General features: G+C 39.3%; 1 protein-coding gene across 19 annotated transcripts in view; it reads left to right on the forward strand.

Moving 5' to 3' along the window:
- The window catches only part of FOCAD (focadhesin), a 340,326-nt gene extending 325,724 nt beyond the window's left edge, over nt 1–14,602 (forward strand). For all 19 annotated transcript variants that reach the window (XM_047423537.1, XM_047423539.1, NM_017794.5 and 16 more), the window contains 7 exons: nt 78–338; nt 1,009–1,098; nt 4,940–5,117; nt 6,984–7,081; nt 8,775–9,026; nt 11,905–11,980; nt 14,208–14,602. In XM_047423537.1, the coding sequence (XP_047279493.1) occupies nt 78–338; nt 1,009–1,098; nt 4,940–5,117; nt 6,984–7,081; nt 8,775–9,026; nt 11,905–11,980; nt 14,208–14,281 (1,029 nt within the window). In that variant the 3' untranslated portion in view covers nt 14,282–14,602. The remainder of the gene's footprint in view (nt 1–77; nt 339–1,008; nt 1,099–4,939; nt 5,118–6,983; nt 7,082–8,774; nt 9,027–11,904; nt 11,981–14,207) is intronic.

Below are 14,602 nucleotides of genomic sequence, written 5' to 3' on the forward strand. Positions count from 1 at the left end.
GTGATGATGTACAGGTTTTGAACATTGCAAACCCAGACTTGCCTATTTACATTCAACCCCTTCTGTTTTACTTCCAGCTGAATACCAAGAGATATCTCCTGATATCTGCACCTCTGTGGATAAAACACATCTCTGATGAACAGATCCTGGGTTTTGTTGAAAATTTAATGGTGGCAGTTTTTAAAGCAGCTTCCCCACTTGGAAGTCCTGAGCTATGCCCAAGTGCTTTACACGGTCTGAGCCAGGCCATGAAACTGCCCAGCCCTGCCCACCACCTCTGGAGTCTGCTCTCTGAAGCTACTGGGAAAATTTTTGACCTCCTGCCAAATAAGATTCGGGTGAGGAACAAAAATATTTACATTCCTGACAATTTATGTTTGGGATATTTTAAAGGCTTCTTGGCAAAGTGGGGAGGTGTATGTTTTAAGAATGTGGGTGGGAAGGCTAGCAAGAAATAACCACATTCTTTACTAGGAGTGTATTTGTTTCCAAGATCTAAATTGAGGTTGAATATTTAGAACCAAAGTTTTGAGCAAGCTTAGAAGCAGTTTAACCAGTGCTGCACCAGGAAATTTGCTATTAGGCGTTTTTACCAAATGCCTCTTGTAGAAGACGAGAAGGCTCAGAAGTCCTTACGCTTTACACCTGGAGAATCCGTGGGCATGAGTTCCCATATACTGTTTATATAAAACAATTTAGCATCGCCCTTCCCTCCCCCAAAAGACCTCTGAATTGTAATTTTACAAAGAGGTTAGAAATTTATTTGGGATGAAGGAATTTTGATAAGGAGAAAAATGTATAGCCAAAACAAAACAAAACAAAAAAACACAAAGTAACAGGAAAGATGTCTTCAAAATGATAAAAATTGGCCAAATGTTTTGGTTTGGTTAAAATTAAAATCTCATCAGCTGCTGTTCATGGGGATAAGAAAATCTAATAATTTGTCAGAACATTTTGACCTGTTATTTTACACTGTTTGTTGACATGTTTGGGATTTTTCTTTATCAGAGAAAGGATCTAGAGCTGTATATCAGCATAGCAAAATGCCTCTTAGAAATGACAGATGATGATGCCAATCGGATCGCCCAGGTTACTAAGGTAATAACATATCTTTCTATACCTTTTTTCATTATTGAGCCAGAAATTACGATTGAATAATTGATTTCAGTGTTTGGCTGAAGCAAGTTTTGCTTCATTTTTGTTATTGGTTAATTTCAGGAAACTATATTTCATTTACATTGTTGAGCCTCTTGTTCAGCCTACTAATGTGGTTGGTGCTTAACAAATGTTGTATGGATGGATAGATGGATGAATAACTTTTTAACCCGATTTCTCCCACTTTGTCCTTCACCTGATCCTATCCTTAGGAATGAAGAAGGTGGTTGATTGAAAAGCAAGCACTATTAGCCCTGACACAGGATAATTTATTTCCCACACCCATGCCCAAGTCAAACGATGAATGAGCAAAAAGTAGCATATCAGTAAAGTTGCCAGATTTAGCAAACAAAATGCAAGATATTTTGTTAAATTTGAGTTGCAGATCAATAATGAATCATTTCTTAGTACAAGTACATGCCAAATGACACACTTGTATTTGAATGGCAGTTTTGCATACCAACTAATACCAATGGTCTAGAGAACTGTGAGCTCCCTTATAGCTGGTGGACTTCGTGTCATTTATTTTACTTTATGGCAGGTTTGCCTATTCAATCAGATCCTTGAATTTCTGCATCATATGGCAGTGGTTCTCAGAATGTGGTCTTTGCATAAGTAGCATCAGCATCGCCTTGGAAATGATTAGAAATGTGAGTTCTTGAGCCCCCATCTAGGCCTACTGAATCAGAAACTCTGCAGACGGAGCCCAGGAGTCTATGTTTTAATTGTCTCTCCAGGTGATTCTGGTGTATCCTAAGGTTTGAAAACCACTGTTAAAGAATATTTGGGGCCAGGTGCGGTGGCTCACGCCTGTAATCCCAGCACTTTGGGAGGCCGAGGCGGGTGGATCATGTGGTCAAGAGATCGAGACTATTCTGGCCAACATGGTGAAACCCCGTCTCTACTAAAGGTACAAAAATTAGCTGGGCGTAGTGGCACACACCTGTAGTCCCAGCTACTCGGGAGGCTGAGGCAGGAGAATCGCTTGAACCCGGGAGGTGGAGGTTGCAGTGAGCCGAGATCCCACCACTGTACTCCAGCCTGGTGACAGAACGAGACTCTGTCTCAAAAAAAAAAAAAAAAAGAATATATGGAATATCAACATTTTGGAAGTTAGGTTGTTTTAAGCAAGGAGAAGCAACATAAGAAAATAGTTAAGAGGATGGACTCTGGAGCCTCACTGCTTCAGTTTGAAATCCAGCTCTGCAATTTGCTAGCAATGCGATCTTGGTTAAGCTTCATAAGCTCTCTGCCTCAGTTCCCTTATCTGTAAAGGAGAGATAATAACACCTATGACTTAGAGCTCTTTTGAGAGTTCAGTGAGTTAGTCCATGTTGAGTATTTGGAATACTGCCTGGGTCAAGATAAGGACTCAGTATTTATTATCATAATTATTACATATGTGTAATGAATTATATCCTATTATTACATTCATGTAATTGGAAATAAAGTATGTCATTTACTTCTTAGTACCTAGAGCTGAAGGTTGCTGTTACTCGCTTGAGTTTCTACCTAAAATACCATTCAGAACATTGTCACTGGAACATACTAAGTAGTGTTCTGATGTCCCCAAAAGAGTTAGTCTGCTTCAGCAAGGTCAGAGTTTTCTATTTGTTTCTGAAAAGAATAGAGGTAGAGGTAAGAATAAGATAGTGGTAGAGAACACAGACTCCCTCAGTTCTGTTTCTTACTCTGCCACCTGTAGCTATGTGACCTTAATTTAAGCAAGTTGCTTAACCACTGTGCTTCAGTTTCCCCATCTGTAAAGGTGGGACTTTAATAGTGATCTACTGCAGAGAATTGGTGTGAGAATGAGTAAATACAGCAGTTCTCAAATGTTTTAGTCTCAGGAACACTTTAGCTTCTTAAAAATTGTTGAGGATGCCAAAGAGCTTTTAATTATAAGGGTCATATCTGTTGACATTTTCCTTATTAGAAATTTAAAGACTAGGAAAACTTTTAAATATTTACTTAAAAGCAATAATAAGAAACCCATTATATATGAACATGATTAATAAAAAAATTTAAAGCATAAAAATTTAGTGAGAAAAGTGGCATTGTTTTACATTTTTGTAAATCTCCTTAATGTCTGGCTTAATAGAAGACAGCTGGATTCTCATGGCAGCTTCTTCATTCCATCTGTTGTGAGGTTGTTTTGGTGAAGTATGTGAAGAAATTCCAGCCTCATACAGATATGCAGGAGGAAAAGGGAAACGTGTGCTAATAGTCTTTTCACATAATTACGGACATCCTTCTTTTACATTTCACCAAAAAACTCAACAACTTGTAGTTCCTTTTTTAAAAAAAATATTTTTTAGACTGAGTCTCACTTTGTCTCCCAGCCTGGAATGCAGTGGCATGATCTCAACTCACTGCAACCTCCGTCTTCAGGGTTCAAGTGATTCGCCTGCCTCAGCCTCCAGAGTAGCTGGGATTACAGGCATCCACCATCATGCCTGGCTAATTTTTATATTTTTAGTAGAGACAGGGTTTTACCATGTTGGCCAGGCTGGTTTTGACCTCCTGGCCTCAAGGTGATCCTCCTGCCTTGGCCTCCCAAAGCGCTGTGATTACAGGCCTGAGCCACCATGCCCGGCCAGCAACTTGTAGTTCCTTAAAGGTTAGTTGCACTGTAGAATCTGAAACCATATTAGTGAAACTCATATACTTTGTTACATTAAATTCCACAGGTCTGTTTTACACTTTGGGTCTTTTACCCATGCATGGTTTTGTAATATCATACATTGGTCATTTGGAAAATATTGAATCACTGAGTTTTGAAGATCTTCCAAATGTTGACAATATAAAATAATCGTATTGTTAATAGCACTACCAATCTCATCAGAAAAGCTTTTTACATATTGGGAAGCTGCCAGGCTCATAGAAGCAGAAACAAATTTTCCAAAAATCTAATTTTCTCTTGAAAGCTCAAATTTTATCATTTGGGAGCAAATACTACCAGGTATTTTTCTTGAAGTGACAGGTTCATTTCCTTCAGTTTCAAGAAAATAATCTGTCAAATACCCAGGTTGAATAACCATAGTTTTTCCATCAATTATTCTTTCAAGTAAATAGTGTTCTGTGAAAAGAGTGGCTATTTCACAGCCTAATCTTACACGTGTTCTTCCTTGGCTTGAGACCACCATCATACCTGGGTATGCAGCACAGTTCCCATATGAGTATTTCTCAGTTTGTCGCACAGAATATTTTTAAAAATATTTACTCAAGGGCCAATGTTTAATGGAACTAATAATTTTTATTGTTTACAAGGATATTTTAAGTGAAATTGGCTTGTGAAAAAAAAATAAACGTCAGTACAATATACAATGAATACTAGTACACTTTGGTGCTAACATAAAAATAGTTTTGACCTCACAGAACCTCTTATGTATCTTGGGGTTCCACAGAAGTTCTGTGTACCATACTTTGAAAACCACTGAATTAACACATGTTAAGTGCTTGGAGTGATGCCTGGCACACAGTAAGTACTGTATTTGTTAGTCATCATTTTATTATTATTGTTTGTGTATATTTACTATATATCATCACTGACTAACTCCTGAACAAATTTATGGTTTTAATGAAGGAGCAGGAGATGGCATTACAACCCTCTATTGTATGCTCATGTTAATTTAGCACACAGGCAGATGGGTCATGTGCTGCAGGAAATGAACAGAATAGTAACATCCAACTCATCTTTTTTGTTTTGCCCTTGCCCTGAAATTCTGTAGCTACTTCAGTTAATTTAATAGTAACTAAACAATTTTTTTTTTTTTTTTTGCAGAGCAACATAGAAAAAGCTGCCTTTGTCAAACTGTACTTAGTCTCTCAAGGACGATTCCCCTTGGTGAACCTGACCGATATGCTGAGCGTTGCTGTGCAGCACCGTGAGAAAGAGGTGTTGGCCTGGATGATTCTGCACAGCTTATACCAGGCACGGATTGTGAGCCATGCCAATACGGGTGAGGACACCCTGGGGTGAACATCAGAAACAGGAATAGATCTGCCTGCTGTTGCTTTTAAGTTGCACTTGAGTTCTCAACTTAAAAATTAGTTTAGTGCTTATTGACACAGGTTAGGCCTTCTGGTGCCAAATGAGGAGTAACTTGGATAGAAATTAACAGTTATAGCTCACAACATCCACTTTTTGGAAATGAGGATGGATTCTTTCGAGGGGTTTTGTTTTCTATTTGGCTCTGTAGACCCTCACAGTTACAAACAAGTTAGCTGCTTCTGCCTGTTTAACTTCAGTTTCCCAAAACACACAAGATATCAATTGATTCTGCCTGATGATTTCATGAAAATGGCTTTTGGGTAGTCATTTAACAAACAAGAGAAAACAGAAACAAAAAAATTAACTAGTTATTTTACAGAAGAACTTCTCTGGGATGAGAATAATCAAATCCTGCCACCCTGTCTGCATTAGCAAGCTTGAAGCTCTGCTAATGAATCACATGATGCAATTTTTAGACCGTTTTAGACGTTATGCTTTAATAATTACTGAATAAGAGCGCTCCCCCATTGCTCTATCCAGGTTGTTGGTCATATTTACAATTTCTGGAGACTACATTCAAGTTCTGAATGGCACCAGGCTCCTGAGGGGTAGATGTGGCTGGGAAGCTTGTGCGACTCTGGACAAATTGCTTATGCTTCTGTGCCTGGTTTTCCCCATCCATCTCTTGTATTGTTATGATTTTTAGGAAAAACTGACAAACACGATTGTAATACTCTGCAAGACTGTATCGCCTTAATACCAGCCCTTCAGGAGGCAAGGCAGGTGGATCACCTGAGGTCAGGAGTTTAAGACCAGCCTGGCCCACATGGTGAAACCCTGTCTCTACTAAAACGACAAAAATTAGCTGGTTGTGGTGGCGTAAGCATGTAGTCCCAGCTACTCAGGAGGCTGAGGCAGGAGAATTGCTTGAACCCAGGAGGCAAAGGTTGCAGTGAGCCAAGATCCCACCACTGCACTCCAGCCTGGGTGACAGAGCGAGACTGCATCTTGAAAAAAAAAAAAAAGAAATTTTGATTCATCATCCCCTGTGGCAGTCTGAAACAGTTTTTATATCTGCATTTGTGCCTTTCCACTGAAAAATGAACCTATGATGAGAAACTGGACTTTTTAACTCTAAGCCAAAAGTGTATGTATCAGGAAGAAATCTAGTAGGTGTTTCAAATGAAGCATGAAGTTACATGCAATAAACTGAAATAAATTTGATGTTGCCTTTGGTTCCAACCAGAACCAGCCAGCTCTCAAATGCAGTTCCCGTTTTTGAAACATGTCCTTAGTAGTCTTTACTGTGCTGGGAATCCTCTTTTTTAAAAAACAAAATTAAAAGGGAAAAAAGTCAATATTGCTGCTAATGGAAATATAATGGCTGTATTTTGTTTTTCTTTACATGTCTTTGGGTTAGGTTTCCTCTGTGATTTGGCATAAATTGGGAACACTGAAGCAAAGGAGAACTATAAAAACAAATAATTGTCAACAATTCAACATTGCTAGTTAGTTGGCATGCCAGATTTCTCCTAGTGTGTTTAATTTTGAGAGAGAAACTCCAACAAATGCATTTTATCACTAGTGGTCAGGGAGATTTAAAGAATAAATTGGCTTTTGAAAATCAAAGACCAAAATACTGTTATCTGATGTGAATAATGTCAAAGAACTCTCTCACAGGCAGTCACAAGTCTCGGGTATTGCAAGGGAACATGAAACTGGTTAATGGAATCCTCACCAGGTGTTCTGCTTTAGTTATGATGGTTGTTACTGATCTGTTTTACATTTCAAAGGAAAACCATGGTCTAGTAAGAAAATACCCTTTTCATTTCAGGCGTTTTGAAGAGAATGGAGTGGCTCTTGGAACTGATGGGTTATATTAGAAATGTTGCTTACCAGTCAACATCCTTTCACAATACGGCTCTTGACAAGGTAAAATCTAGAGGAGTAGTTTATAGCTTCCTTAAAATACAGAACTTATATTAGGTTGGTGCAAAAGTAATTGCGGTTTTGCCATTAATTGGCAAAAACTGCAATTACTTTTGCACCAACCTAAAATATATGCTCCCAAAAGAGGAGCACGTTGCTGTTTGCAGCTTTTCTTTCCCTCTTTCCTTTTATTTTAGACACACTTAATGATTCTCTGATGCCGCAAGAAAACTGGTATTCTTACCAAGCTCTTGGAGACACCCAAGGCTGCCCTTTGAGAAATATTTTCAACAAAATATGTTTCTTGACAGACAGAACACAAAGGACACTTGGGAGAGAGAGAACCCAAGCTCCTGTGTAGCTGGGATTGATCCCATAAAGGATGTGGGAATATAGGGCTCTGGCCTCCACACTGGCCAGCATATGGCTAAAAATGCCTGCTTTGAAGAGGTTCCTGGAGTGTATGCAGATAATCTTATGTGTGCCAATACTTATGTGCATGTGTGCATATATGGAGGGGAATTTTTATCACACCTGCAAAATTACCTATGACTCAAAAAAAGTAAGAACCGCTAGTATTAGGTTTGGGTAAGTTTAAAAATAAAAGATTAATAAGACGAAGACAGCTCTTTCCTGCTTTCCTTCATTGTGTTGACTTAGCTGGCAGCTGTGCATTTTGTAATAGCAGAATTTTTTTTCTGTAGGCATGCTTCATGAGTATTCTGTTTGCTGTGTGAGTCAAATTTGCATAACCTGGGATGTTTTTTGAAGTTCTGCCCAGTTTTTCTGAAGAGTTGTATGTCTTTTTGAAATTTTAATTTGTGAGTTTAGGAATTTTAAGAGATTAGGAAGTACTTTTTAAACTTTTTTTGAACTTGCGTGATCTGTCCTCTTTCTTCTGATTTCCTAAGTTTTTATTAACTTTCTCTGTTTTCTTACAAAAACCTTAAAACACTGAGAAAATACAGATAAGCAGAAAGAAGTGTAGTTTAAATCACAGTAATCCAACTACTCAGAGGTGGCTCCTATAATCACCATTTCTATGATTGTCTAGATTAGTCTGAAATCTAAATGGATAGATCCTGGACAGGTGTTTAAAATGCATGAAGAAGCTGGGCACAATGGCACATGTCTATAGTCCCAGCCACTTGGGAGGCTGAAGCAGGAGGATTTCTTGTGCTCAAGAGTTCAAGATCACTCTGGGCAACATAGTGAGACCCCATTTCTTAAAACATTTTTTAAAAAAAATGAAGAAAGACTTGCTCAAAAGTAGAATCAGAGTATACATATTTTTAAAAATTAGTTTTGCCCACATAACCATAAATATTTCTTCATTTTGTAAGCTCTTTGAAAACATCAAAACAGAGGAATGTTTGGATCTTGATGTGATTAGGAATTGAATAAACGATGTTTCTCCTGAAATGTTAGAGCGATAATAATGAAACTGTTGGGTCTTCTGCCTTCACATAAAGGGACTTCAAAAATCTTCTAAAGCCCCAAAATGTATCTTCATTAAACATGGAAACTGAGTTTACTGTTCAGTTCAGTTCCTCTTCTGGGTGGGGGTAGGGCAGGAGGGACTGGTTGGGTGAAGGGGAAGATGACATTGCCTCACGACAGGGGCTGTGTATGTGAACATGTGTTACTTTGAATTGTTAAAAAATATGACCTAACGTCATTTCTATTTTCATCGTAGGCTTTGGACTTCTTCTTGCTGATATTTGCAACCGCAGTGGTTGCATGGGCTGACCACACTGCCCCTCTCCTCCTCGGCCTCAGTGCCAGTTGGTTGCCATGGCATCAGGAGAATGGCCCGGCTGGGCCAGTACCAAGCTTCCTTGGCAGGAGTCCAATGCACAGGGTCACTCTGCAGGAGGTTCTCACTCTCCTTCCCAATAGCATGGCTCTGCTGCTGCAGAAAGAGCCATGGAAGGAACAGACCCAGAAGGTGAGGCTGGCAGCCACCTGCTTAGCAGGGCAGGCAGCCATTGTCTCTTCAGCAGTTTCTACTGTAGAATTGAGGTGGGAGTTAAGTGCGTCTTGAATCACACCACAGACTTTCCTACCCAGCCCCATATCTCAGCCAGATGCAGAGTCTCAGAGATTGAGGCTAGCCCAGGCTCGGGGCAACTGCTGATTAAACAACAAGGTGGCAGCTTGCTTACAGCTGGGAGTGAGGTGGAGGAAAAGTCCATACTTCATTTATTGAAGGCACTTGTTTTCTTGATCCTGGGGAGGAAAGGGTGAGTATGTCTCAGAGCTCAGAATCTCAAGGTGAGGGTCGACGGGAAGGCAAATTCAGGATTGCAAATCGTGTGATAAGTAAGATACAGTGGTGATGAGCAAGGGAAGGAGTTGATCAACAATGCCTGGGTGGGTCAGGAAGTTTTCTGCCAGGAAATGTGGGTCGGGAGCATCCATCTTCTTGTAGCATCTTTAAGGTTCCCCATAGCTTATTCCATTGCACAGATATGCTCCAGGCACCCAGTGTGCCCTGGTCTGTGCTAGATGCCAAACAGAGCTTTGTAAAGGTCTGATAGTATCACCCTTGCCCTCAGGAAAACCTAAATTGTTTAGTTTGCTGTTCAGTCTAGTTCCTCTTCTGGAGTAGGGGTGGGGCGGGAGAAGGAGTTGGGTGAAGGGGAAGATGACATTGCGTCATGTTGAGGGCTTTGTATGTGAACATGTGTTACTTTGAATTGTTAAAACATATGACCCAAAAGGAAACATTTTTTGGTTTTTAATGTTGAGGTTCCCCAGGCTACTAGCTGTTCTGCAAAGCATAACTGTGCTTACTGTACTTCTCATTATATGTTTCTGACCTGTCCTTAATACAGTTGGTTGAAAGATTCTTTTTTGAATCTCATTTAATCAAAACTGGATTTTTATGAAGTTGAAAGCTTCAAACTAACTTTTTTTTGCTTATTCTTGAAATCTGAACATTAATCTTTAAAAACATTTCTGAACTGTAGACCCATAGTTTAGCTATGCACAACTCCACCAAGTATCTCAACTAAAATGCCTTTTATTTTTCTTAAACCTGATAAGCATTAGTATTGCTGCCCCAAATTTTGTGCTTTGTGTCCCATTTAAAATCAAATTTTGGCTGGGCACAGTGGCTCACACCTAGAATCCCAGCACTTTGGGAGGCCAAGGCAGGCAGATCACGTGAGGTCAGGAGTTCGAGTCCAACCTGGCCAACATGATGAAACCCTGTCTCTACTAAAAATGCAAGAATTAGACGAGTGTGGTGGTGTGTGCCTATAATCCCAGCTACTCAGGAGACTGAGGCAGGAGAATCGCTTGAACGCAGGAGGCGGAGGTTGCAGTGAGTCGCAATCCCTCCGCTGCTCTGCAGCCTGGCTGACAGATTGAGACTCTGTCTCAAAAAAAAAAAAAAAAAAAAAAATTTAAATGTGGTCTTCCCATATATTATTTCTGGACTGGGATACCACGTTCCCTTTGGACTACAATGTAGACCTCTTGCATTGATTATATATTTGTAGTGCTTGACTTTTTTGCTTATCGGTTGGATATTATAGCACAAAACTGAGAAAAGGAAAATCAACAAAGAAAAAAATTTTTGATTAAAGCAGGGAATTAGGAATATTTTCTTTTTCTCCCTATTTTACTCTTTCTTCAATCTAGCTTCTATATGTGAAACTAAAATGCCTATTACCTATCACCAATGTATGTGTTTTTAGTGAACCAAGATTGGCAGCATTCAGTCATTGATTAAATTACCCTGTATCTAATTCAAAAACAATTCAGGCTGCATCCTGAGAGATCAGCCAAACTCATAAATACTATGAGTTTCCACCTCATTTGCAGGATTTATTCATGGTTAACATGCTTGGCTCTACCTAGTGAATTATTTTATGCCATTTCTCTTGCATTTCAATTTTCTGTTTCATATCCATTTGGGCACAACTGTTCTCATCTACAGAAACATATTTTATTTCAGAAATGGGGGCTTATATCTGATGTGTTTTCTATTTACTGCCCAGCCTAGGAGCCTAGACCAAGCTGCACACAGAACCAGGTGGGAGGCAGCATGATGCAAAGAAAGAGCATAGGGCTCTGAAGCCAAGTGTACTTGGGTTCAAATCTTAACTCGGCTATACATTGAGGGTGGACTTGGGCAAGGTTTTTAATCTCTCTGGGCCCATCAGAGTGATGAGAGATAATGTTCCTGGCACACAGGAGGCCCTCTGGGCCCATGTCTACCTCCCTCTTAAAACCTGTATCAGCAGCCAGGCATGGTGGCTCACACCTGTAATCACAACACTTTGGGAGGCCAAAGCAGTTGAATCACAAGGTCAAGAGATCGAGACCATCCTGGCCATCATGGTAAAACCCTGTCTCTACTAAGAAAAAAATACAAAAATTAGCTGGGTGTGGTGGTGTACGCCTATAGTCCCCGCTGCTCTGGAGGCTGAGGCAGGAGAATCACTTGAACCCAGGAGGCAGAGGTTGCAGTGAGCCGAGATTGCGCTACTGCACTCCAGCCTGGTGACAGAGCAAGACTCCATCTAAAAAAAAAAAAACTCCTGTATCAGCTCTCAAGGTATTCAGCAGGGAAGTAGGTTTGACTTTGCCAGGTCATTTAACTAAATGGGAGCTGTATCCAACTTTACCATATCTTATGCTTGGTCCCTGTCTCATCTCCTCCACCTGGGGAAGGTATTGCCTAAGAACTGTAATCCCAGCTACTGGGGAGGCTGAGGCAGGAAAATCACCTCATATATATAGGTCCAAGGGAATAACTGTTCTTTTGCTGATGGTAGGATTCTCTTCTTTGACACTATTTTTCATTTTTACCCTAGTTCATTGACTGGCTATTCAGCATCATGGAAAGCCCTAAAGAAGCCCTCTCAGCACAGTCCAGGGATCTTTTGAAAGGTATTACTTCCATGTTTTATGCTCAACATAGGGGAAAAACCATTATTGTTGTCTGTGGAGCAGAATGGCATTCTAGTGGTTGCAGGTTGAGTATCTCTTACCCGAAATGCTTGGGACCAGAGGTGTTTTGGATTTTGGATGTTTTTGGATTTGGGTATATTTGAACATACATAAGGAGATGCTTTGGGGATGGAACCCAAGTCTAAACACAAAGTTTATTTATGTTTCATACATACCTTACATACATGGCCGGAAGGTAATTTTATATAATATTTTTAGTAATTTTGTACATGAATCAAGGTACTTGGTGTTAAGTACTTATGTGTGGAATTTTCTACTTGTGTTGTCATATTGAGGCTCAAAAAGTTTCAGATTTTGGAGGATTTTGGATTTTTAGATTAGGGATGCTCAGCCTATATTGGTTTCTGAAAGAGATAATCTGGAGCTGTTTAGTGTGGCATTTTGAACCAGAAAGTAGACTTAAAAAGAATGCCAGTCCCTTTAAATTTACCATTTATTTAAATGGTTTTAAAATGTTTTATGGTAATAGTAAAATATTCTTTTAATTAAAATTCAGAAAATTCAGAAAACTAAAAAGCAGCAAAGAGAAATCCAGAGTCCCATTGCCCAATGACAATTTTTATATTTTCCATAAGAAGTTTTTTCCTGCTTCTGTGTGTGTTGTCTTACATATTTATAATCATATACAATTGAAAATACACATAGCTCAAATACTGCCTTTTTAATTTTAACATTCTTTTTCAAACATCTAAACCTGTTCTTACACTGGCTTTATAAGTAGTGTTTTTAATGAGCTTCATAGTATCTTGCCAGGGGAACTAGACACTTCTCCTACTTTCAGGCATTTAAATGATTTCTGTCTTTTGTACTTCTCTACCGACTTTGTTAACTATGACTGTAGGATCCACAAACATGGAAGATCTTTCCGTAAAACTTATGTAGATTATTTTACTCAGATCTGAGAAGTCATTTGGGCATTGGCCGTATGGACTACAACAGCTTGTTCTTGTCCTTCATGTCTGGTGATCTGGGGGTCTGGAGCCTGCCAGCAGCTGCCACTGAAACTTTCACCTTCAGAAAGTTGCCTGTTGGCCTATTCTGTGATAATTTATCTGGTCAGCCTGGAGTCAGTGTATGATCCATATTTTACCTATTACTATGGTACAGTTTATTGGTTGCCAAACAAGTAAGAATTCATTGGTTGTAATCTGTCTCCTCAAAGTGGTGGGAGGCATGTGTGTGCTGCAACAGTGCTCCCACATAACTCTGATAAACCACAGAACTTCACTGAAAATCAGGGCTGTGGTCTGACATGTTTTCACATTATCCATCCCTAGAGACTTGCTGCTAGGGCTTACTCTGTTTGACCCATGGAGTTTGTGCTCATTTTTAATGGCCATAATAACGTTGGTTGCTCCAAAGATATACCCTCTTAGGTTACAAAGATAACAACGCATATGGATGAGGAAAGCAATCATTCGGGCCAAGGAAGCTCATATTCACTTGATTATATAGTAGGCTTATTAGATTCACATACAATAATTGTGTAACTCTGGCTTACCTACATTCCTTCATATTATTATATTTCAAATAAAATATCAATACATTTGTATTAATATTCTAAAATAAGATATAAAAAATTACTTAAAGGAAGTACACAGAACTTCCTATTTTAAATTGATCCCTGAGGGACCTGTGACAGATCAGAAATAGTTTGGGGACAGATGTTCAGATATACTTTAGTATGGTCATACTTGCTCCATTGAGTACATGAACCTAACTTTATTATAGGTTCAGGTTATTCATTGTTGTTTTTTATCATTAAGTAAATGTTTAATGGAAATACCATATTCATGTAGAAAAGAGCACAAATTGTGAGGAGATTTTTACAAAGGGAACACAGCCATGTAGTCAGCACCCTCATCAAGGAAAAAAACATCACCAGCATCCCAGAAGTCAGCTTTCATTTTAATTCTGCAGAATTTCCCATTAACTGATTGCAGGGTAACTTAAAAAAAAAAAAAAAAACAACTTTCCCCCCAACATTTATAAATGGTTTTCTGCCATTAAAATCCTGCCAAAATATCGATGGAACTCCCTAGTCTTGAACATTAGCCAAGTGAGAAAAAGACAAATTCTGTTCTGACACCTTTTTGATCAAAATGACCTTTTCAAATGCAGCCATACCTATATTTTGTCCCCTTAGCCACCCTGCTGTCCTTGAGAGTTCTCCCAGAGTTTAAGAAGAAAGCTGTATGGACCAGAGCATATGGTTGGTGAACAGTTTTGCAGTAACCAGCAGCATTCTCAGCTGGATGAGGAAAACCATATAAGTGGAAGAAGTTTTTCAGAATTCATGCCTGGTATTGCTGAGACATGATGCAGAGAGTTAAGGGTCATGAAAAGATGGCCACATCACTGACAGCTTGACACATGCCTCCTAAGAGAGGAGTGCATTGCTTTAGTACCCGGGCCAGTTGAGACTGAAACAGGAACTTGGATTTTCTTTATTTGGCTTGAGTTCAATGTGGAGATTTTCTTTGTGAAAGCTTGAAGATATTATCTTCTCCCTGCTAAATTCCAGTAAAATAATGTTGTCAA

The sequence above is a fragment of the Homo sapiens genome, chromosome 9 (genome assembly GCF_000001405.40).
Source record: "Homo sapiens chromosome 9, GRCh38.p14 Primary Assembly".
Taxonomy (NCBI): Eukaryota; Metazoa; Chordata; class Mammalia; order Primates; family Hominidae; genus Homo; species Homo sapiens.